This window comes from Homo sapiens, chromosome 1 (assembly GCF_000001405.40).
Source record: "Homo sapiens chromosome 1, GRCh38.p14 Primary Assembly".
Taxonomy (NCBI): Eukaryota; Metazoa; Chordata; class Mammalia; order Primates; family Hominidae; genus Homo; species Homo sapiens.
In genome coordinates this window covers 2,484,919-2,508,359 of record NC_000001.11, presented here as the reverse complement: position 1 = coordinate 2,508,359, position 23,441 = coordinate 2,484,919, and the positions used below count along the sequence as shown (strand labels likewise).

At 64.7% G+C, this 23,441-nt stretch overlaps 1 protein-coding gene across 12 annotated transcripts in view, besides 2 other annotated features; it reads right to left on the bottom strand.

Annotated features, from left to right (window-relative positions):
- Positions 1-2,827: 2,827 nt before the first annotated feature.
- Positions 2,828-23,441, bottom strand: part of PLCH2 (phospholipase C eta 2) — an 89,590-nt gene continuing 68,976 nt past the window's right edge. For 3 of the 12 annotated variants that reach the window (XM_047435029.1, XM_047435028.1, XM_047435023.1), the window contains exons 7-23: positions 21,360-21,453; positions 20,984-21,187; positions 20,642-20,762; positions 18,982-19,153; positions 18,493-18,600; positions 17,025-17,168; positions 13,412-13,504; positions 12,790-12,872; positions 11,656-11,753; positions 11,350-11,532; positions 10,751-10,858; positions 9,713-9,837; positions 9,532-9,616; positions 9,130-9,276; positions 8,640-8,719; positions 5,450-6,248; positions 2,828-4,438 (exon numbers count right to left, since the gene is read on the bottom strand). In XM_047435029.1, the coding sequence (XP_047290985.1) occupies positions 3,147-4,438; positions 5,450-6,248; positions 8,640-8,719; positions 9,130-9,276; positions 9,532-9,616; positions 9,713-9,837; positions 10,751-10,858; positions 11,350-11,532; positions 11,656-11,753; positions 12,790-12,872; positions 13,412-13,504; positions 17,025-17,168; positions 18,493-18,600; positions 18,982-19,153; positions 20,642-20,762; positions 20,984-21,187; positions 21,360-21,453 (3,936 nt within the window). In that variant the 3' untranslated portion in view covers positions 2,828-3,146. Of the gene's footprint in view, positions 4,744-5,449; positions 6,249-8,639; positions 8,720-9,129; positions 9,277-9,531; positions 9,617-9,712; positions 9,838-10,750; positions 10,859-11,349; positions 11,533-11,655; positions 11,754-12,789; positions 12,873-13,411; positions 13,505-17,024; positions 17,169-18,492; positions 18,601-18,981; positions 19,154-20,641; positions 20,763-20,983; positions 21,188-21,359; positions 21,454-23,441 lie in introns of all 12 variants that reach the window. The other 9 variants (XM_047435038.1, NM_001303012.2, XM_047435025.1 and 6 more) reach the window with 6 other exon arrangements.
- Positions 8,089-9,288: an enhancer, noted in NCBI's record as "CDK7 strongly-dependent group 2 enhancer chr1:2430511-2431710 (GRCh37/hg19 assembly coordinates)". NCBI's record gives its function as "activates an origin of replication core promoter dependent on BRD2, BRD4, P300/CBP, MED14 and CDK7 cofactors, with strong dependence on CDK7, by STARR-seq in HCT116 cells {active_cell/tissue: HCT116}" and the evidence as "EXISTENCE:reporter gene assay evidence [ECO:0000049][PMID:35650434]".
- Positions 15,817-16,378: an enhancer, noted in NCBI's record as "H3K4me1 hESC enhancer chr1:2423421-2423982 (GRCh37/hg19 assembly coordinates)". NCBI's record gives its function as "activates a minimal SCP1, AML or CMV promoter by ChIP-STARR-seq in primed H9 embryonic stem cells {active_cell/tissue: H9 hESC(primed)}" and the evidence as "EXISTENCE:reporter gene assay evidence [ECO:0000049][PMID:30033119]".

Below are 23,441 nucleotides of genomic sequence, written 5' to 3'. Positions count from 1 at the left end.
GGGCCAGAAGAACCAACTCAGCCACCCTCGTCCCTCCAGCGCCCTCCCCCTGCACCTGCGGGATGTGTGGGTGCTGAGCAGCAATTCCTGACTCGAGAGCCTGGGAAAGGAGCCCTCGACATCGATCACCCTCAAGGGCTCTCAGGCAGCCAGGGGCCGACGTGGACCCTGCTAGGAACTGTGTGGACCGCGTGGGTTTGGTTGCTATGGCCTTGGGACCAGGCTCCCTGGGGCCGTGTTCTGTGGCTAGGGTGGGCATGGCTGGGGGGAGCTGGCAGCAGGGAGGCCCGCTGGGCCTGGCCCCTGGGAGCTCTGAGGCGCCTGGGGGTCCTCCCCCTCAGCCCAGGTGTGGGATTGAGACCACACATAGCATCGTAGAGAGGGCAGGAGGGCACAGGGCTTGCGGAGGCCCTGCTGGGGTGGGCTGGCTGCAGGCCCCCAGCTTTGACTTCATGTGGTGGGAGCTGTTCCTGGTGCTGAGCTGCTGGGCAGGCCCTGAGGAGGCTGAGCTGCTACCTTGCCCCACCACCCCCACCCCCGCTGGGGTCCCCCACATCCAGAGGCTTCACTGAGACCCCCAAGCACAGGCTGTCCTAGGCCAAGGAGGTGGGGTGGCATGGATCACCTTCCAGACAGCTTTGCTTGGTGGTCTGGAACCTGCAGAGGCTAAGACCCCTCCCTCATGGAGACCTGGCCTGCCCAGAGGTGCCCAGTGGCCATTTCTGGCCCCCACTGTGGTGTCTCTTCGTGACCTGCCCTTGGAGTCTGCGTGGAACCTGAGTCCCAGCCCTCGTGCAGCGGCCACCAAAGGGTCTCGTGTCCTGGCAGAGGAGCCCGGGGGCAGCTGGGCTATCCTGAGGTGGACTGTCCCCCTGGCTCCAGCTTCTCCCTCCTGTGGGTCCCCAGGGCAGAGGCCCAGCCCCCGGAACCCCATGGGCCCTCACCACTTTCCGGCCCTCTCCTCAGGCCCGGCTCTCTGATGGGGAAGCCCTCCCAGCCTGCATCTCTGTAGCCTTCCCTGACCCCACTCGGCCCCTCCAGCTCTTGCTCCCATCCTGGCCCCACCCTCACTGGTGGTGGGTGGCAGCAGTGGCCTGGCCGCTCTGGGCACCCGGATGTGTGACTGCCTGGCCTGACACCCACAGGGCTTGACCCCGGGGTTGGAGAGTCCATCTGTGCTGGGGACGCACCCACTACAGAGGTTTGGCCTGAGCCTGGCCCAGACAGGATGCCGAGGAGGAGGTGGGGGATGCACAGAGGCCTGGAAGGACAGAGCCAGGACAAAGACACCAGGGCCTAGCCCAGGCTCAGCCCCTGCACACCCCCATGCAGGGCCTGCCGGTGGCCACGGCCTCAGCTCCCCTCTTGCACAAGGGGCCACCCAGCCTATGAGCCAGGCACCCCTGTGCCTCCGGGCAACCCCAGCCTCTGTGACCCCAGCCCTTCCCCAGCCCTTTCCCAGCCCTTCCCCAGCCCTTTCCCGCCGAAGCCGGAGCTGGAGCAGGAGGGCTCTGGCCTCTGCCTTGTTCCCTTGATGTGGCCATTTCAACGGCGCTTTCCTCAAAACACGAGCTGGCCCCAGGCCCTCAGCCCCTCCTTGACTCCCGCAGACCCCCAGCTGGCTCCCCAACCTCTGCCCTGCCCACGGCACCACTTGGGGGCTCGCCAGGAGGCCTCGGTCACCAGGCTGCTGTCAGTGTCACTGCCGGGGGCTCTGTGAGTCCCCTGTCCCAGAGCTGAGACTCCTCAGGTTCAGGTGCCGCCCCGGGCCCCAGGCAACCAGCTCACCACACCCCTGCTCTCGGTGGGGCTGCAGCTGCCCACACGCAAGTGTTCTGGGGCTCGAGGATGACGAAGTCCTGCCAGGCTCTCTCTGAGGGGCGTGGTGGGGCTGGGGGAAGGGCGGCACCAGTGGCCCCTCTGCCTGGCTGAGCTGGGGAAGTGGTGACAGCGATTCCTGTGGCCGCCCACAATCCCTGTCAGTGCAGGAACATGGTGAGGGCAGAACAGCCCCCTTAGAGCTCCCCCAGCACCCCAGGATCCCGGCCTCCGGGCCTCAGGCCCGCCTTCCCAAGGGCCCTGCCTGGGCACAACGCAGCCAGGGGTGAGACGGGATACCCCGACAGAGCAGTGCTCATCCGGGTGGTGCGCCGGGCAGGCCCCTTGGGCAGCCGCAGGTGACAGAGCCTCATGGGGCAGGACATCCCCTGACTCCCCTGGCCACAGGGTGGGCCACACCCACTCCCACTGTTGGGGCAGCAGAGGACGGGCTGCAGCACAGGCTTCCAGAGGCCCGACCAGCACCCCAGCTTCTCTAGGGTAGGGGCCTTTCTGGAACCACCATGCTCTGCAGGCAGAGCAGTCCCCCGGGTTGGGGGGCCTGTGGCCCGGGGTTAGGGCCTGCGTCCTGAGGAGCAGGCTTTGCAGCCTACCCTGGGAGCCTGTCCAGCTCAGCCCTCTGAGGACAGGCCAGGTCTTTTCTTGGGGTGTCTTCTGGGCCTGGCGCAGGCTCCGACGGGCACCTGGTAAGTAAGTGGCACAGGAGGCTGAGCGAACGGGAAGCCCATGCGTGCTGGTGAGCACGTTTATCAGAACCACGTTTGGGAGTTGACAGAGGCTTAGGCATGGTGCAGAGGGTGGCGTGGTCGGTGCAAGGCAGATACAGGCTTCAGGGCAAGGCCCAGACGGCCGTCCTGAGCAGCCCTGGTGCCTCACAAGCACCCCCGCCTGTGCCGTGGCCAGGTCAGCCGCGCCTCCCGGGGCAGGCTCAGGACAGGTGCGCACAGATGCACACCACACACACCTGGGGTGAAAAACCAGGTAAAAATGGAAAGGGACTTGGTATCATTTTAATGTTGTATAAGTTTTGCTTCTAAAAATTTAAATATTTCTCTATGTACAGATCCTAAAACGCCGGGAAAACTGCCTGGCAGGGCCAGCCTCGAAGCCCCTCCTGTGGGCCCCGGGCCAGCAGCTTTAGCCTTTCCTCCCCGGGAGCAGGGGCAGGAGGGAGGCAGGGGTGGAGGGGACACAGGGCAGCCAGGGGGACACAGTTTTGGGGGCCTGGCTGCCCTGTTTCCTGAGCAAACAACACGCCCACCCCTGCCCTGGGCCTCCAGAGCCGCCCAGGTTCCCACCACTGACGGTCAGAGGCGGAGCAGGACCAGGTTTTCAGCAGCCGCGGATGCTGGCCCGAGGGCTCCCTTGGAGGGTGCTGGTGCATCCACACTGCCCTCGTGGCCCACGGAGCAGGCGCCCTCGGGGGTGCCCCGCTCCTCTTCTGGGGGTCCCTGCCGGCCCAGGCCCTGCAGTCTCTGCTGCCGCTCCTGGGCCTGGCGGGCCCGGCTGGCAATGGCACGCACGCGGCTGTGGCTGCGGGAGGAGGAGCGCCGCACAAAACCAGGGCCCCCTGCCACCCCCTCCCCAGCCGGGCCCAGGCTGGTGGGTGACGTGATGTCTCCTGCCTGCTGGAAGACAGTGAGCCAGCGCAGCTGCTCTGTCAGGGTGTCCCGTCTCACCCCTGGCCCCGACACCCGCCGTGTCCCTCCCGGGAGGCCCAGGCTGTGGCTCAGTCTGCGGGAGCCGCCCTCAAAGCTAGGGGCAAAGTCATCAGCAGTGAGGTCGCCCAGGCTCTTGGACTTGGCAGCCACGGGGCAGTCCTGCACGCCCACCAGGGAAAGGCAGCCCCAGGGAGGCCGGAAGGGGAGGCCAGCCATCCTTGGGGCCAGGGACCTGGGCTGCAGTTCGTCAGGTATGGGAGGCCGCTGGCCTGTAGCCCGAAGGTTGGGGTTGGATTTGCTCTTGGTCACAGGTGGCAGGTCTGGGCGGGCAGCCGAAGCCGAGTGGGGCCTGGGGGGCAGGCGTCCCATGTGGGCTCCAGCGAGGTTCTCACGGCTGCGGCCCAGGCCCAGGCTGGGCAGGGAGAGGTCAATGACAGTGTCGCTGGATGACATGCTGGAGGAGGAGGAAACGCTGTCTCGGTGGCCACATGGCTCCAGCCGCTGCCACAGCGGGTCACTGCCCGTGGCATCGGAGTACACGGCAGGAGCTGGAAAGGGAGCGGCCAGGGGCCGCCACCCTCCCAGGGGCTCCGTGGGCACCTGCCCCTCACTCTTCACCCTTCTAATCACGGGCAGGTGGCCCAGGGTCCGGGGCTGGCTCCTGCCGTCCGTCTGGCTGCCGGGGGCCCTCTCGTATGCCCCGCCGGCGCCCTCGCCGTTGCACGGCCGAGGCCTGCTGTCTCGGGGCTCCTCAGTGTCCTCTAGGGGGCTTGCCACATTGGCTCCGGGTCCTGTGGGGTATGGGGGCCGTCCCTGAGAAGAGCTGGTGGGGACAGCCGCTGGTGGCGGGGGACCAGGGCCTGGGGCGGGCTCCTCAGCGATGGTTTCCAGGCTGCACAGTGGGGGGAGTGGCCGCTGCGTGGAGAGGGGGCGGGTGTCTGTGGGGAGGTGGGGGAGTGAGAGAGAGCCAGAGGGAGAAGCAGAAGAGAGAGAGGGAGGCAGGGAGAGAGGCGGAGAGGAGTCGGATCAGGGTGGTGTCCCCGGTGCCCTGTGCCGAGGGTCGCCAGGCCCAGCTCCCACCCCGAGGCATCCCCCGGGCGCGGCACACTCGGTGTCCCCACCCTGCTGCTGCTGGGGCCCAGTCCACGCCCTGTGCCGCACACGGGGCCCTCCTTGGGCTGGGACAGCACGGGACACCGGGGCTGGGCCCCGTTACCTGTCACTCGCCGCTCTCAGTTCCTAACTACGGAGGCAGCGTGGGTGGGGGCAGAAAGGAAAGCTTGGTCAGGGGGGTCTGGAGGGGCAGGGTGGTGTGGGGCGGGCTCCGTGTATGTCCCTCCCTCCAGGCTAAGGAGACACCCTTCTAGTGGGGTGCTTCAGCCCAAAGCAGCGAAGCCCTGGGGCCCAGGGAATCTACTCCACGCAGCACTCAGCAGGCTCCAGGCGTCCCAGGGGCGCAGGAGACGCCCAGCAGCTGCACTACCTGCCCACATCAGACTTCCCAGTAGGGACCCCTGGAGCCTGCCCTAGAGGGAGGTGGGAATGGGATGGTACGTGGCCCCCAGTCCCAGGAAAGGCATCAGGGGCCATGCAGGTCGCCAGCCGCCCAGGAGGTGAGTTTGGGGAAGCGCCCAGCCGGAGGGGCCCAGCATGTCAGGCCACAGTCCCGGCCCCAGACCCTCAGCAAGAGCAGCTGGTTCTTCCCAGCCTGTCGGGCCTCAAACCAGCTCCACCCAAGTCCCAGGGCCTCAAGCTCAGACAGGAGGGCTGGGGCTATGGGCCACAGGCAAGCCAAGGGAGCAGAGTGCCACGGAGACAGTGCCACGGATACAGAGCCACGAGCACGAGCACACGAGGCGACACCGTCCACGCAGAAGCAGCAGCAGGTGACCCAGGCCCAGCCATGCCAGGGGCGTGCGGGAGGACCACGCAGGGCAAGAGGGGCTTACCGGCGGAGAACATGGGGGATTTACTCCTGATCTCCTCCAGCTTTTGAGCAAACAAGGCACTCATCTCTCCCTGCAGGGCCCCCGGTTGCCTGCAGGCACCCTCAGGCCAGCGGGGGGACCTTTCGGGGATGCCCGGGCTGTCTGGGCTGCTGGAGTCCGAGGACATGGAGCCGCTACCGCCTGGACCCTGCCTCCAGGCCCCAGGACCCTTGGGGGCCTCTCTGCTTCTCCCCGGGATAGCGTGAGGGTCCAGGCCACAGCAGGGGGCCCCCAGTGAGTCAGCCCGGGCCCGGGGCTGCTGGCGAATGGCTGCCTGCCTGCTTGCAGGCCCCGGGCTGGGTGGCCGCTCCCTCTGCAGGCCCCCGGTGTTCACGCCGGCGCAGGATCCCACCACACACTTCATGCATGTGGCGGCCATCCCAGCAGGCCCGGGGCCGTCCAGGACACGCGGGGGCCGCACTCGCACAGGGCTCTTCTCTGCCACCGCAGCTGGCGCCTTACCTCGGGGGCTGCCGCTGCCGGGCCCCTCCTGGGCTGGGGCTTCCGGAGCAGGTCCGGGCCCGGGGGGCACCACATCGTCTGCCACCCCCTTGGAGCCTGTGTCCCGTGTACCCAGGACCAGCTCCGGGAAGCCCCTGCGGCCCGGCTTCTGGCTCTTGGTCGGGGCGCTGGCCGTGCGCCGCAGGATCCGCTGGCTAACGGAGGGCCGGGCCGGGGGCCGCCCAGCAGCATGACTGTCCAGCGAGCCGGGCTTTGGGCCTCGGAGGAAGAGGCCTTTTAGGCCCAGAGCCTGCTTGACCTGCAAGAGAAGGAGCCCATGTAGCTGTTGCCAGGGGTCCCAGCCCAGCTGCAGCTGCTCCCCCAGGGCCAGCTCTCCAGACCGTGCCACAGACGTGCCATGCGTGTCTCGGTCCGAGGGGCTGGGCCACCTCAGGCTGGGGGTGTGTGGACACACCAGGGCCTTCAGGAGCAGGGTCCCTAGGGCAGCTCTGCCTGGGACAGTAGCTGCTACAGATCTAAGTACACATGGCCCACCCCACCCTTCCGGCAGAAACTGCCCTCGCCTGACCTGTCCAGGGCATGTGGGGCCCTTGAGGGGCATGGAGAGAAGGTCTTTCCCTCCGGAGGAGAGACCTCGAGCCCCAGCCTGGCCCACCACAGCCTGCACCTGCTCAGAGGCCCGCAGCCCCCGGCGCTAGCAGGGGACACTGGCGTGGCACTCCCTGGTTGTGTGTGCCCCACCCTCAGGCAGGAGTAGCTGGTCCACAGCAGGAGTAGCCAGGTGCAGCGGGAGGCCCACTTGCCCGGCCCGTGTCCTGCCCACTCCCATGGTGATACTCGTGCCCTAGGAAGTACCACCTCTTCCAGGAAGCCTTCCTGAATTCCCCCAGGCAGCCTTTTCTGGTCTTGCCCTGCCCTCCACTCATGTGAGCCCCCAAGGCCCGCAGCTGGCTTGCTGCCCCCTGAGCCCTGCCAAGATGGGCTCAGACTCCCAGCCCACCAGCACCTGGCCACAGCCAATCTTCCTGGACAGCTGGGCCCAGGAGGTCCCTGCCTGGGCAGAACAGCTGCTGAGAGGGAGGCAGCCGCATCTCCAGGGCGCAGAGGCCAGAGGGGCCCTCACATGCCAGATGCCCCCGAGACAGCACCCACCGCGCCCCCATGACGAGCCGTGCTCGTGCACAGAGCGGCCCAGGCCCGGCAGGTGGGTCACCCCCCTGCAGGGGCGCCTCTGGGCAGATGCGTTCAGATGGCCAGCACTTGAATCAGCTTCCTGATTCAAGATCCCAAATCTACGCATTTGGTCACAGTGGCTGGGAAGCCATTTAGAAGCAGATCCGGGATTCTGGCTCGGAGCGCCGGCCTCAGGGGTGCCCTCATCCCATGCACTGGCATGGTTGGCAAGGACAGGGAGGGAGTGGGAGGCGAACTCAGAACCAACAGCCTGAGGGTCCGAGATGGGGGCAGGAGAGAGAAGGAGGGGGATAGGAGGGGCACAGTGGGGGCTCCAGCGGGCTGCCCGCCAGGGAAGGGGCTGAGGGAGGGGAGGGAGGACTGAGGGAGGGGAGGGAGGACTGAGGGAGGGGAGGGAGGACTGAGGGAGGGGAGGGAGGACTGAGGGAGGGGAGGGGAGGAGAGGCCAGTGAGAAGGCGGCCACCCAGCTGAACCCTGGATCTGCCTCGTAAATGCCACTATGGCTGGGGATGGCCAGGGCCCCCGGAGCCATGTCATGATCCACGTCACATGAGCGACAGTCTCCAAATGCTACCAGGAATCATGGATGCTAATGGGGTGCGGCCTGGGCATGCAGGGGCGGCGGGCCGCACTGTCCCGCGCACCGGGTACCTTCAAGGCTCCTAACAGAGCTGCACTTCTAAAAGTAGGCTGTGGCCATAGAGAAGCCGACTGCAAGACCAAAGAGACAGGGGGAGCAGGTGAGGCGGCCACAGCAGTGGCGTGGGGAGCCCTGCAGCCTGGGGGACGAGGAACAGATGGGTGGATAGACGGCAGGGGCTGGATGGCACCTCTGGGCCCGAGAGCATGGCAGGAGAGAGTCAGCACTGGGCCTGGGCAGGCCCCTCCTGCTGTGTGTGCGGGTTCCCCGAGGGCCAGCTGCAGCCAGCAGGACCCAGAGGGCACTGGGCCCCAGCTCAAAGCCAGGGCAGCAGGGCTGGCACCAAGACCACTTCCTGCGGAAGCCGAGGCCCCACCCTGACCTGGGGCAGGGGACAGACATGCTGGGTGTGGAGTCACAGGCAAACCCGGGCAGCTGCCTTCCACGTGACACCAGGAAGTAGAGGGGTGGGGGGTAGTAGAGGGGAGAGGGGCATCACTCGGTCCCTGCTGAGAAGCCAGATGGCAGCACTGTAGGGGTGGAGGCTGCAAGGCCCCCAAGAGTCTGAGACAGGCATGGGTGACACAGGGCGGGGCAAGGCCCGGAGCACTCAGGACCTGTCCTGCCCGAGATGCCCAAAGCCAGCCCTGAGATCAGAGGTGGGCACTGGTGGCTCAGGAGCCAGGCCCCCACAGCAGCCCCTCTTGAGATAGAGGAGCAGAGGCCCGGGGAGGGGACCCTAGGCCTCACTGCCTGAGTTCAGGACCCAGCACTGGGGACACATGGGGGGGCATGGGACAAGGGGCTGGTGTGGCCCCTCCCCATGATGGCTGGTGGCAGGGGGTGACACTCACCTTACCGCTGATGTCACTGACAGCCACATGCACGAAGATGGAGGCCTCTTCCATCCCTTCTAGGTACACGTGTCTGTAGCCTGGAGCAGTGTGGGTCAGCAGGGTCATGAGGTCACAGCCTCCCAGGGCCCCCACCTGCTCTGCCCCCCATTCTACTTAAAGGTCCCAAGACCCCAGATACACCCAACAAGCCCAGGCCTGGGGCCTCTGCCTCCTGTGGGCCCAGCACTACCCCACCTCCTCCAGGAAGCCCATTGGCATTGCACCAGCCTGCAGGGACCTCTTCCTGGGGGTGGCCCCTCCCCCACAGGCCATGCCCCTGCCTGACCCGCAGATCCCCAGGCTGGCTCTCCTCCCGTCCTCAGCTCCTGTCTCTTTGGTGCCAGGTGCAGGCCCACCTACACAGGCACTGACTCACAGGGGAAAGAGTACCTGCCCTGCCCTGGGGCCCTCGGCCAGTGTGGGGGGCACCGTGTCCACTCCTGCCCACCTGGCATCATGCTGCTGAAGGCCAGCGTCCTCTGGCCAATGAAGTCACGCCCGATGGGATCGTGGTCCCAGACGAGGAAGCGGACCAGCGCGATCTCCGGCATGTGCACCATGAAAACCAGGGTCTCCTCCCAGGTGGGGTTGAACCCTGGGGAAGCAGCGCCAGGAGGAGTGTCCCATGGGGAGGGCCCGGCCCAGCACCGCTCCAGCCTGGAGCCCCCGGCCCACACCACTCCCAGTGCCACTCCCGGTGCTGCTTCCGGGACTGCCCACCTAGAGGGGAGGGCGCCCAGGACTGTCACTGAGGGAGGCCTGGGCAGGGCACCCGGGCACACCAGGTAGCCCCAACCCTCCCCCCTCAGACTTCCATCACAGGTGTGACGGAGCCACGGCCCAGCCTCACCGTTGTCGTCCACCACGCGGGTCTGCTCCCTGCTGCAGTCCACAGGGAGCCCAATGATCTCCACCTCCACAAAGGGGTCGATGATCTGGGACACAGGAGTGGGGGTGGCATCAGGGCCCATCGCGATGCCCGGCCCGCCCCCAACTCCCACCCCTCCCGCCTGTGTGGGGCTGGCCCCCACCTCCCCACGGTCCCCCAGCATGGAGTCGCGCGGCTTGGGAAGCTGCTGGCCACTGATGATCCGGAGCACCAGCTGCTTCTTGAGCTGCCCGGGCAGGGGGTCCTCCGAGTTGGGGTTGAACACGCCTGAGGGGATGCCGGGGAGGTGGTCAGTGGCCCAGCCCTCAGCAAGCCCCCTGCTTGCTGGGGCATGGCTGCCAACAGCCCCCTCCCCAGCCCCCACATAGGAGACTGGAGCCGGTGCCAGGGGGAGGGAGGGAGGCAGTGGTCCAGGGGGGCACCTCGGGGTGCACCTGGCCCAGTATGGATCACCTTTGTGGCTACCGCAGCATGTGGGACAGAGCCCATGCCTCCCACAGCTGAGCCGAGGAGGTCACATGGCTTCTGGGGGTGGGTCTGGGTCCCTGGGGGTATGAGGGGTGGGGTCTCTGGTGACAGTGTCCCCAGGGCCCACTCAGGCTGAGAACTCTGAGGAGGGCAAGCCAAGGGCAGAGGTGGAAGTAGCTGGTCCACAGCAGGAGTAGCCTGGTCTAGTGGGAGGCCTGCTCGCCCAGCCCCTGTCCTGCCCTCTCCCATGGTGATACTCCTGCCAGGGCCACAGGGGGACCAAGCTGGAAGTCATCCACAGCAGACAAAACAGAGGTGTCTGAGAGCCGGGAGGAGGTTCCTCCAAACACCCAGCCCAGACCCAGGTCCTGAGACCCACAGAGGGGCCAGGCACAGGGGGCTGGGTCGCTGGCACTGGGGCCCCTCAGACAAGTCCTGCCATGAATCTCATGTGGGGCCCAGGCTCCCCAGTTCTCCATCCCTGGATTCCTGACGGAGCTGGGCCCTTCTTTGCAACGCTAGCAAGGAGGGTTCCCCCACCCACCTCCCCAGCATCCTGGGAGCTTCGTCCCAACCTGACCCTCCAGGGGACTCTGCCAAAGCCGCCCCCACCCCCTTGCTAGCCTGTGGGGCTCCGATCTCTGTTCTGGGGACACCCAGGAGGCCCATCCGAGCCCTGAGCGTCCGAGCCCTGAGTGTCCGAGTGCCTCACCCTGGCACATGCACCCAGGCTTGAGTACGTAGCCGCAGCCACCGTTGGCGCTGAACTTGGCTCGGTTCAGCTGCAGCATCCGCCCCTCTGACTGGTAGTTCAGGGCAACTGCGAGGGTGACACAAGGCTGCCCTGGTCAGCACCTGACCTTCCAGGTGTGTGCCCCGCCCACCCACCACCACACGCTAGCCTCCCCTGCACAGCTGCCGCGTATCTGCCGTCTGCCCCTCGTTCACCCAATGTGAATGGGACTCCAAGGTTCACACCTGTGCAGGACTGAGGCCAGCACATCCTGGAGGGACATCCCCGGAGCTGGCGCAGCCAGCCTCGCAGGCAGGTATCCCTGGGAGTAGGTGGACAGGCCTGCACCATCGCTCCCACATCCCCCACAAGGCCTGAAGGACCCTGCCCCAGTGCTAGCCTGGTGTCAGTGGCAGCCTGGTGTCGGCAGCATGCCACAGAGGTGTGGAGGCTCCAAGGGCAATAGAGCCCAGGACAGAACCGAGGCCCCAGCGGGTCCCCTGCTCGCCCCTTGGGCTTCAGGGACCGTCTGAGCCGAGCCCTCCCCACCACACCCAGCGCACCATGCCCGCACCCACCCATTTGGCAGCCGGCGTTCCAGAAGGGCTGCGGGTTGTAGTTGCTGGAGTCCACACGGTAGGAGGAGGGGTAGATGCGGGAGAGCTGCTGCTGGTTGAAGCGTAGGTACTGCGCCGGCTTCTGCTGCAGAATCTGGTGGGCCTTGGTCTCGCTGAAGGACGACACCTGCCAGCTGGACGCCGCTGTGGCGCCGGTGACCGGGCATCAGACTGCCAGTCCTCGACCTCGCCCGGCGCCCAGCAGCATAGCAGGGATGGGGGACAGGGAGGCCTCCGCCCGTGGCCCCAGGTCCCCGAGCCACTCACCCTCCATCTCTATGTCGTGGGTGGCCACGGACTTGGTGTACTTCACCAGGTCAGAGAGGGCCCGGGACAGCTTCATGGTCTTCTTCTGCCGGGTCGCCCTGTGGCAGGTGCAGGGGGTCAGAACCCCTCCCGTCCAGGGCCAGCCTGGCACCCAGCTCCGTGAGACGGGCTCCAGGGCTCGGGCAGCCTCATTAATTCACGCAGCAGGCCCCGAACCATCAGAGACGGACGCCAGACTGGGCCGCGGGCTGCGGAAACCTGAGTGCTGGGCAGGATGTGGGCTGGCTGGGAGCTACCAGCAGGTGCAAAGTCCCTAGGCACTGTGTGCAGTGGAGGATGACGTGGCCTGCCAAGCGTGGCAGGTGTGGGGGCTTCTGGAAGGTTCTGAGCAGGGGAGAGCTGGGCTCGGGGCCTGGGTCTGGCCTAGAATCGCTATGTGGAGAGGAGGCCAGGGTCCAAGGGGGCCTCCGTGTCGGCCGGGTGGCAGCGGCACACGTGGATCAGATGTGTGCTAAGGGCAGAGCCCGGCTGGCACGTGGGACGGGATGAGACAGGAGGGGGCTGTGCCCAGGCGAGGGGCACGGAGGAACCATTGGGGGATGGAAGTGAGGGGAGACGGCAATAGGAGGGAGTGGGCGGCACGGGGGGAGCCCAGGGTCCGGGAGGGGTGGGAGTTCCTTCTGGGCCTGTAGGTTTGAGACCTCAAAGAGACCCCAGACAGTGCTGAGGAAGGCCTCCGACACGGGGGCCTGGGCCTTGAATTCAGCCTGACTGGACGGGAAGAGGGGGAGCCACTTCATGGCAGGCATTTGTTGCCCCCTGGGGAGGGCATGAGGCTGGGGGCCTCATAAGAGGAGGCGGTGAGGACCGAGAGCCGACAGCCCGGCAGCATCCAGGGCTGTGGGGACCTGGGCCCTCCAGCCACCTGCTCAGCCGCCCCTGCCCCCACTGCCCACAGCCACCAGCCTGCCCTGCACACCACACTCCCTACCACTTCACTGCTTCCAGGGGCCAAGAAGGGGGTAGGTCCTGCCCTGCTCAGGGATGGTCCTGGTGGGGTCACCGCAGAGAAGGGCCCGGTTGGGCCAGGCTCCCAGGAGTGTGCGGGGCCTCCCCGTGGGGCAGGGCACCTACCCTCGGCTCTGGCCTCCCGGGGAGTCCTGACCCTCATCTCCCTCCTCCACGCTGGCCGCCTTCTTCAGCTTGCTGCCCTTCTTCTGTGCGGGGGGCAGAGGTGTGAGCTGTAGGGCCTCTGGCCCAGGCCAGGCCTTGGCGAAGGCTGGGGGGTTGGGGAGGGCCTATCCTCCGGGGTCCCCAGCGGCCCACGCAGCCTCCCATGTCCATCCCGCCTGGCTGGGCCTGCCAAAGCCTCCTCGGTGCCCTCTCGATCTGGGCTCTGGCAGACTCTCAGGGCAGCCACAAGGCACCTGAGCTTGGGGCGAGGGCCAGCGTGGGCCAGAGAAGGGATGTGAGCCAGCCAGGCACCTGTTCCCACCAGCTCCGAGCCCAGGCTTCTGGCCCAGTCCCTGGCACCTGCAACCGATAGCTCGGCCTGACTCAGAGGGGATCCTGTGAGCCAGGCTGGGAACCCTGGGGACTGGAGGAGACCCCCATCTGCTCTGGCTGGGGCAGGGCCCACTGGGGCACTGGGAGCAGGGAGGACACGGGGCACTGGGAGCAGGGAGGACACGGGGCACTGGGAGCAGGGAGGACACTGGGCCCAGACCGGGACCCTGGCCTGGGAGCTGCGCCGGACCTTGCGCCTGGAGAAGCTTCCCACGACGAGGCGGCCATTGCGTCTGCTGGCCCCGGCATCCTCCCCAGACTCCACGTCCTCTTCAGCCTTGCTCTGAGTCCAGGGGAGAGACAGGGACAAGGTGAGTCTAGCCTTGAACCAGGCAGGGAGGCCGGGACAGCCCCTGGTGGTCCCAGAAGGCCTTCCTGGAAGAGGTGGGCTTGAGCCAGGTCTGGAGTAAGGCAGACGGGAGGGGAGGGCAGGGCGGGGACAGGTTGGGGAGCCCCCGTGGCAGCCGTTCCCAGTCCACCCTGGGGCAGAGGCAGCTGCCGAGGAGAAGCGGCCTGAAAGTCAGGCCCCGGTGGAAACATTCGCTCACACCTGCCTCAGCGTCTCTCATGTGTTGTTTTAAACTCGTTAAGTTCTGAATCCTTTTTTCCCACCAGTGGTGACTACGTAATAACTGCGTTTGTGTGCCTGGAATACTGCTCGGCCAGGCCTGCTTGCGCAACCCTTTTACGAGCATTCCACGGCCCTGACCTGTTCCCGCAGTGCGCGGGTATCCCTAATCAGACACACGGCTCCAGGTGGGCACTCCCTGAGGCGGGTTCTGAGCTGGGGAACCCCAGGAAACCACTGTGAGCCTTCCTACCGCTGTATAAGTAGCAGACACATCCAGGGCTACCCTGCCTGCCCCCCGCCGAACCCAGGGCTGCCTCACGAGCTGCTCATTCACCCCAAAGCTCATTCCCAATGGAACCAGCAGAGCCTGTGCCACCACCTGACCCCTGCAGCCCCTCCCACAGACACCTCCAAAACATGGCCCAGCTGTGCTCAGGAGGGGCTCCCATACCACATCCTGTCCCCCACCAAGGGTGGGGGCTACTTTCTTTGAAACACAGCAAAGCCGTGGGCCTGCAGCAGCGGTCCCTGTTAGGAGGGGGCTTCCGCCAGAAGCGGACACATCACCCACCCGTGGCCATGCCCCTGTACACGCCCACCCCTCTGCACACACCCCTGCAACACCCACAGCACGCCCCTGCACACACACCCTCCCACACCCCTGGATGCTCCCACACTGCTGCAAAGAGGCCACTGTAGCTCTCATGACCACAGACACTCGGCGCTCAGCCACGCCACAGCAAACAGCTCCGACTGCTGCCCGCTCTCCCCAGCCTGGACCTGGGCCTGCCTGGACACTGCCTCGCTGGACGCGTTGGAAATCAGGGCACGTCGCGTCCGCAGGCCCCATGCCAGACGGGCCTCTCAGTCCTGTTGATGCGGCCGGGGAGCTCCCGCCAGCCTCCCTGTGCTCTGGGTACCACGGCCCAGAGGTGTGCCCTGCCCCTCCTTCACCCTCATAGGGAGCCAGGATGGGATTGGACGGCCCTCCCCACGGCCCAGAGTGGCCAAGGGGCCTTCCCGTCACCAGGCTGCACTGGCTGGAGCCCGAGGCCCCACGTGCACTGCAGCAGGAGGCTCCCAGGTTGTCCAGGTCCACATGGCTCTCAGACATGCTCGTCTCTCTCCACCTCCAGAAAAGCCAGCCCCGGTTTCCTCTGAATTTATTGGTGCCACGGCTGCCGGGAGAGGCGCTAGGAGCCAGACTGACAGTGCGCCTGGAGCCGGTCGGGGCCACCACACTTCACAGCTCCTTAAACATCCCCAAAATGCTGCAGTGACCCAGAGCCACGAGCGACTGTAAATCCAGGCATGACCGAGGAGAGGCACGCGCTGACCCAGGAGACGGACGGCCAGACACAGCCCGTACTGCACGGCCAGACCCGTTGTCACCCCTGGGACTCCCAAACAGAGGAGACAGCAAGACCCAACTATGCTCCAAGGGGCTGCAGGCAGCAGAAGGCCCAGGTGAGGGGGCCTGGATGGTGGTGGAGGGTCTCAGCCAGCAGCAGGCCCCCCAGCCCTGCCTCTGTCAGGGAGGCTGGGTTCTGGGCCCCGAGGGGGTGCTCAGGGAAGGGTCCTCACGGGGCAAGGCTGTTGGCTGCACAAGCACTCACCGGGTTGTGCTCAGCTTTCTGGGGGTGGGGCCCCTCCTTACCCACCGGCTTCTCTCCCCAAGATACCCATTCCTGCTGCCCCCGGGCCTCAGGGACTCGTGAGTAGAGGTCTCACGTCCTCAAGGTTCATGGGCAGAGGGGACACCGGCTACCCCAGGGGGACAGAGAGGCACAAGTGTCCCTCAGTGGGATTTGCCATCCCCACGACCCCCAGTGCACAGACACCCCCTTTACCTGGGCCACGCCCTCCGTGAGCTCCAGGGCTGAACGCGTCCCGGCCTGGCCTTGGGATCAGCTCCGCCCCTCGCCTGTACCAAAGACTCTGAGACCCTTCTGGGGTGTGTGTCCACACCAGGCAAGGAGTGCATCTCATCAGGGGGGATTCCCGCTCCTCCCCCAACCTTCGTGGCTGTGCCTGAGCCCCTCCTCCTCCTGCAGGAAGCCTTCCCTGAGCACAGAACCCCCAGCAGCCGCTCAGACCTGAGGTCTGCAGGGGACCACTCTCCTGGACCCGCAGATGCATCTCCAGGTTTTGCACAGGCCCAGCTGGCTGCCCAGCAGAGCCACAGATGGCCACTCTCCCCCACCTAGACACCTTGGGATAAAAATAAAGGAACGCCTCTCAGCTCGGGCCCTGCAAGAGCCACCTGCACAGGGCATGTTCCTCGAGCTCTCCTGCGGTGTCAGCTGTGCCGAGTGCTCCGAGGCCCGTGGGCGGAAACGCAAACACCTGAGTCTAAAAATACTGGTCCTGGAAGGGGACACAGCACCCTCACTTGGCCAGGGAGAAGTCACCTTCCCACCCTCCCCAAGGGTTAGGAAAAGAGCAAGGTCCCTGCAGGGACAGGCAGAACGAGCCGGTGCCACAGGGCACGGTAGGGCTCTCCAGGCACCAGGAGACCGTGTCCCCAGCATGGGCGCCCACCAGCACTGTCACCCTGTGGAGGGTCTGTAGGGCCCACCCACGCTCCCCACTCTGCCCCACCCGCAGCAGGACTGCGGGATCTGCCGGCCACAGCTCCTGGCTCCTTCGAGGTCTGCAAGGAGGCTCTGTGCACCAGGAGACCGTGTCCCCAGCACAGGCGCCCACCAGCACTGTCACCCTGTGGAGGGTCTGTAGGGCCCACCCACGCTCCCCACTCTGTCCCACCCACAGCAGGACTGCGGGATCCACCGGCCACAGCTCCTGGTTCCTTCAAGGTCTACAAGGAGGCTCTGTGACCGCAGGACCCGGCCCACCCTGCCTGTCACCTCTCACCCCACACACACTCCATTGTGTCTGCCATGACAGCCCCTGAGGGCCATTCGCTCCATGTGGAAACTTCCCCACGTGGCCACAGGCAGCTCTAGGCAGGGGCGCTGGGCAGGGAAGGCAATCATGTCCCCCCAGCTGGGCAGCTCTCAACGACTGGCTGGGCTTTGAGACCCCGCTGGTAGGTGGGTATGGATCATGCAGGTGTGTGCGGAGGTGTGTACAGAGGTATGCTTGTGTGCAGATTTGTGTGTGCACAGGTGTGAGTGCGCACAGAGCATACGTTCGGGGGCCCTGGCTGGCCCACAGGCTGGCTGTCGGGGGGGCCTGTCGGCATCAGGGGTGTCACCTTTTTGGCCTCTACCTTGCGTCCGAGCTTTCCAGATGGGGACAGTGTGGAGACGGAGAAGTTGTTGGGGTCCTCACAGTCCCGAATCTTCGACTCTTTGATGAGGGAATCCAGTTTCCTCTTAGCAGTGTTTTCTACACGCTTTCGATTGGTGGATGCCTGCAGGAGCCAGAGGCCGGCCTGTTGGCATCTGTCCCGAGCCCTGCGAGTAGTGGCAATGACAACCCCCAGGGTCACAGCACTCTGCCCACCCCAGGCTCAGGGAAGGCGTGTGATTCACCTCAGGGCCTGCAGGCAGCCACAGGCAGGACGGGAACCCAGGCCCACCCGACTCCTCCAGCAGCACGAGTCTGCCCAGCGGCCCCCAGCAGAGCCTGTGCGGCTTCTGGCCCTGTGGCCTGGGAGGTCAGTGCGCCAGCAGGCGGCACAGGGTCTGGAGTCCCACCACTGGCCACCATGTGCCTCAGGAGATGGCAGGGCCAGGGGCAGACTTCAGGGCAGCCTCTGAGCTGGGTTGGACGCCCTTCCCTGCCAGTGCAGCCCCCCGGGTGCCCCTGATGAACTTGGAATCCTTGAGGACAGGGTCTGGGACTTGGGTGTCAGACGCCCCTGGTGCCAGGTTGGAGTGGGCACAAAGCCAGGAGCACCGTGGAGCTGCCTTTGCCATCACGTGGGCCACACAGAGGCGTGTGCCGCACATCCCAGGCAGGAAGAGTGCTGCTGCCTCAGGAGTTTCTAAAATGGTTGGCCGCGTGGCCAGGAGCACGCTGCACAATTATCTCCCCATGCATGGCCCCTCTGGAAGCAACGGCCTTCCCTGCCTCACAGCAGCGGCCCCAGAGCAGTGTCCAGAGGAGAGGAGATCGGCGCCCCCGAGCCCAACACCTCACAGGACCCTCCCATCTCTGCAGCCCCCCACCCTGGCCCTGGCGGGGACACAGTGACAGCGCTCTGTGGAGGTGACTGCTGGTGGGACCCCCATATCAGAGTTGACCTTAGAGATGGCACTGCTTGGAGATGAGGCCAGCACTGGCCACGGGGGTGGCTGGGCAGTACTACCAGCCACCCAGCGTCCAGCCAGACTTGGTGAGGAAAAGGGCGGGAAGCTGGGAAATCCTGTGCCAGGGCCTGGGTGGGCCAGGTGCTGGTGGGAATGGGGTGGAGTCTGGCGTGGGACCCAGCCCCCAGTGCTGCCCCCACTTACTGAGGGGCCAAGAGGACAGGGCAGGGGGAGTGGATGGTACCCCAAGAGTCAGCTCAAATGTGGGAGCTGAAACTGGGAAGAGGCAGGCCTGCAGCTCTCATGCAGAGGGGTGGGTGGGCAGGGAGGACCCCCCAGGCCCCAGGCCGCTGTGCGAATCTGCCCCAATGTCCCTCTCTCCCGGATGCCTCCCTTTCTAACTCGCCCCAACAGCAAGGACGGACAGCTGTTCTTGGGAACTGCAGGCTCCACGCGCCCCCCTCCACCTCCAGCCCGACTCACATCCCCATTGAGGAGCTTGCAGTCATCGTCAATCTCATCAGCACTGTCCTCATCAGACACCTCGCCTTCCTCCGCATCCTCGCTGATGTTGGCTGGGAGCTTCTTCCCCTGGGGGAGGAGGTGCATGATGGGAGGGGCCCTGGAGAAAATGCTGGGAAGCCAGTACCTGGCACCCACAAAGAGCCGCCGGCCAAGGAGAGGGGCCTTTTCTCAAGCTCAGTTTTGGCATCTCAGCCATGGGGCAGGGGCCAGACTGGCCAGCTCCCTGTGGCTGCAGCAGCGTGAAGGGAAAGGCCTGGATGTGCATGAGGGGCCTGAGCCAGAGTGACCACCATGGGGAGATGGAGGCCAGGTCAGGAGCGTGGCCAGCCCTCAGCCCCCTAGATATGCCCATGGATGGCATGATGCCCCTGCCTGTCTGGAGCAGGGCACTGCTGCAGGCCCGAGACTCTGTGTGAGCTGGTCCCAGGAGGGCAGGGGCTCACTCACCTTCACGAGGATCTTGCCCTTGAGCATCTGTGGAGAGGGGAGTGTGGTGGCATCTTCACTGCTCACTGATGACAGGTCCAGCTTGTCCCCAAGGATGTCAGTCAGATACTGGGCCATTTTCTTCTGCTGGATGACACTGCAGTGGTTTTCGATGGACAGGATCACTGGGTACCTGTGGCCCCAAGGCAGAAAGAGCAGGATGAGGCCAGGGCCTCAGAGGATGGGTAAGCCCCACCTCTGCAAGATCCCAGGTCATCTAAACCATTGAATGAGGAGGGGTCTTCACCAGGAACCCAGGATAGCTGGGATTACCAGCAGCTCTGGGAGGTGGCCCACCCGTCAATGGCTTTGAAAAGCAACAGAGTGGATGGGAAAGGAGCTGGGAGAATCTTAGGGACTGGTAAAGAGAGCATGAGCTGCTTTCCCCAATAAGAAAAAAAACAAAGGCAATGAGAAACTCCAGGAAAACAAAAGGAACGTTTGAAAAAGTCATGGTTTTAAAATGATGTGGACAAAACCAAGGTACAGTGTGGAGCTATAGATAGGCTGGGAAATAGAATCCTTTTGACCTAGATACTGGGGACCCTGTCCTCTGAATGGCCCTGGGGTCCTGACATTGGTCCCATAAAGAAGGAGACATAAGCCTGGCACACACCATCTGGTGGAACATGGTTATTACCTGCACAGTGCAGAATGGGGAGTATAGCAGGGACTTTTAATTATAAGCTTTTCAGCTTCATTTTTAACCATGTGTATGTTTTACTTGGATTTTTACCAAAAGGCAGCCATGATTCTTTCAGAAAATGTAAGTGACCCAGAGCAAGAGGGCATGAACCAGGGCAAGAGATGAGCAAGTCCTGTGATGTGGAGTGGGCAGGCAGGGCGCAGGGGCTCATTCCCCCACTTCTCAGGCAAGAAACTGAGGCCTGAAGCCCAGGGCCTGCAGGAGAACATTGTGCCTGCACAGATTACACTGGTCATAGGTGCAACTCTGTCCTGAGATCCCAGCAGGCCCCTGGCTCCTCCCAGCTCATCTCTCCTCCCCCCATCCCCGCCCCTGTGCCTTGCAATGCCCTTCCCACCTACAGTCCCAGGGATGGGGCCAGCTCGAGACTGTGACAGCAAGGACCAGCTCTTCCAGGAGAGGCCCATCTACTTCTGTTTCCTAAATCAATCTTGCTTCTTCTCTCTTCCTTCATGCAATTAGCTCCTTGCCCACCTGCGAGCCTCATGTAGCCAAGACTTGAAGGTAATTCAAACCACACGGGGAGGCGGTCTTCTAATTCCAGAAACTAATTTCTGTATTTTCTTCAATAGTGTCTACAGCCACAGCTGAGTGACAGCCAATTGAGTCTGGACACAGAGTGGCTTCTCAGGGGTGATGAGTGTGGGAGCCACAGCTGCTGTGGGCACTGACACCGGGAGGTGCCACCAGGCGTGTGGACGAGCTGCTCCTGTGAAGCCCCTGCCTAGACCTGCGGCCATACTCTCTCCCTGCCCCTCTCTCCTCAACCAGAGATGCCAGAATGAAACCAGCCCCCTGGTCACCACAGTCACTGCTCCCAAAGAAAGGACATGTGGGTGTGGCAGGAAGAGCTAGAGCCTGGAGACCCTACCCTGCCCACCTCTGGGGCCAGCCCCGCTAGGCCCAGCCACTCACTCATTCTTGATGAAGGCATATTTGTTGATGGTTTCAATGACGTCTTTGAAGAGGATCTTGGAAGTCAGAGTGTAGCCATGGTGCACAATGGGCTCCCCGTCGGGCCCATCCCAGCAGTCCACTGCAGGCGGGCAGGCCTTGGTCAGCCCCAGGGGCCTAGCCACAGTGAGCCCAGGCAGGCTGAGCTTCGACCAAAAGAGGGCCTGTCCCATTGCTCAGTGAGGGACACAGAAGAGGCCTTCCCAGCCCCTGCCCAGAGATCCCCCCGGGGGCTCCTCAGGTGCAGCCCATCTCCCACAGCAGATGCCAGCCCACGGCCGTCACCCAAGGTCCAGGGCTTACCCTCCACGCAGCGGCAGCCAGCCTGCAGGACCCAAGCATACATGTCCACCCGTGACTGGGACATGAGCTGGTCACCCACGAGGTAGGTGTTGTGGGACGAGGTGATGAAGTAGTGGCTCAGCGGCTGCGTCATGTCCTGGTGCACATGGTGGTGCTCAGGGTTGAAGATGTCACCAGCAGGGCTCCTGGTGTAGTTGGTGAAGCCTGCAGGACGGCGTGGCATAGGGGCCATGTCAGCCCACCACCAGCCTCGTCTCATGACCACCTGCCCCCATGCCACACAGAACACAGAACACCTGTCCCGGCCCACAGGTTGGGCCCTCGTTGCCCCTCCAGCATCCCAGGACAGCTGGGCTGAGGGCAGCGCCCCACTCACCATCAATGCCCAGCAGCCCCTTACTCTTGTTTTCTGGGCATGGCTCAAACTGCTCGATGATGTCCTGGCAGCTCTCGAGGGTCACACCCGCCATCTAGGCCAGAGCAGGGGCATGAGTCCAGGCAGCCCATCCCTGGCCTGGGATAGCCTCAGGCAGCTCCCCCATCACCACTGTCCCCTGCCTGTCTCTGATTACACCAGGGATGACCATGGCCAGCCAGCTCCAGTGTCACATGACTTGGGACTACCGTGGATCACGTGGCTTTTGGATGGCTTGCTCTGACTATGAACTCTGACGGCACGGGAGGGGCCTCTGACCTCATCAGCTGGACCACCCCACACCAGTGCGAGACCTGTGGCCCAGAGTGGGCCTGGCACGGAGCAGAGGCCATGTGTGGGTGGGTACAGGAGAGCAAGAATCTTCATGCCCCCTTGGCAGAGCCAGGCAGGCACAGGCAGCCCCCTCATCCAGCCCCTCCCACTGTCTGCCCAAGCCGTCACACACTAACCCTCCCAAGAGATCTGAGCACCACAGTCCGGCCCAGCCCAGGCCACCCCAGGCATCACAGGCCAAGGGACCTCCAGGGCGCTATGGTGCAGCTGGGCCAGGAGCTGCCCAGCCCACTGACACGGCTTCTTGGAGGTCCCTGGGAACATGGTGAGGTAACAGGTGGGGGAGCCCAGAGCCAGTTGTGGGCCCCTGGGGAGGCCCAGCAACCAGGAGGCCAGGCAAAGGGCACCAGTTGCCGGCTGGAGGACTCTGGCTCCTGAGTGCACAGAGGGTTCCACAAGGCTTGGGGCAAAGGTCAGGGAGGGAAGGGTCACTTCTGCCTGCCAATCCCCTATCCAGGCCCCATTCCCACCTCTGCCTTTACTGGGACAGAGGACCTACTATCTGCAGCCAGGTCACCCACAGACACATGCTGGTGCCGCCCCTGGTGGCCAGGGCACAGGGCATCCGAGACAGTGGGGTCTAGCCAACTGGTGCTAGCTTCCCCTGCCTGGGCCATGCGTCCCGGGTGTCATGCCTGCAGGACTGGAGAAGCGGCTGCCACGGGATGGAGCCTGGCAAGCTGCCCCGGCCAGGTGGGGGCATCCCGGGAGCTCAGGCCCAGGGACAGCCCCAAAGGCCAGCTCTGGGTTTGTGGTAAGCTTGGGGGTGGGGTACTGCTGGGAGATCCTGGGTAAAACCCACCCAGACCCTACCTGGGATTCCCAAGGCTCCTCCTGCCACTCCCATCCTCGCCCTCAGACCATCACCGAGAGGCTGACGCAGCGCAGGTGGCCAGTAGAGTGGAGGTCCCTAAGCAGCACCCCCAGGCCGAGGCCAGTAGAGTGGAGGTCCCTAAGCAGCACCCCCAGGCTGAGGCCAGTAGAGTGGAGGTCCCTAAGCAGCACCCCCAGGCTGAGGCCAGTAGAGTGGAGGTCCCTAAGCAGCACCCCCAGGCTGAGGCAAGTAGAGTGGAGGTCCCTAAGCAGCACCCCCAGGCCGAGGCATCTTGGTCCCCTAAGGCTTGCCCTGTCCCTGCTCTCCTCCCTGAGGAGGGTCCAGGGTCCTCACCTGCACTCCTACGAGGCTGGAGGGTGGCCACACACAGTCTGAGCCCCTCCCATGGATCCCTGTCCCCACTGGGGCTCCGGCCTTCCCCTCCGCTGCCTGGCTGGACCTGCAACTCCTGCCACCAGGGCATGCGGTACCCAGTCCCTGCCCAGGCCTGATACAAGATGGCCAGAGCCCTGAACCTCTGGAAATGAGGTCCTTGGTCAGTGGGGCAGCACTTGGCCTTGGCATTGGTCTCTAAGGATGGCCAGGATTTCTTGGGGTCTAGATAAAGGGCTGAGCATGCCCCTCTGGATTCCAGGAGGCATCTGAGTGTCTGCTGGACAAACAGGTGAGTGGATATTGTGGCGGGCCTGGCACCCTAGGGGAGCGAGTCAGCCAGACCCATGTGGCTGGAACACAGGGGCAGGTCTCAAAGGCTGGGCCACAGAACCCTAGTCCACAAGATGCTCAACACCAAGGCAGGAGGCATGGTCAAGCTGTGGGAGGCGCAGGGTGTTCACAGTCAGGACCAAGCCATT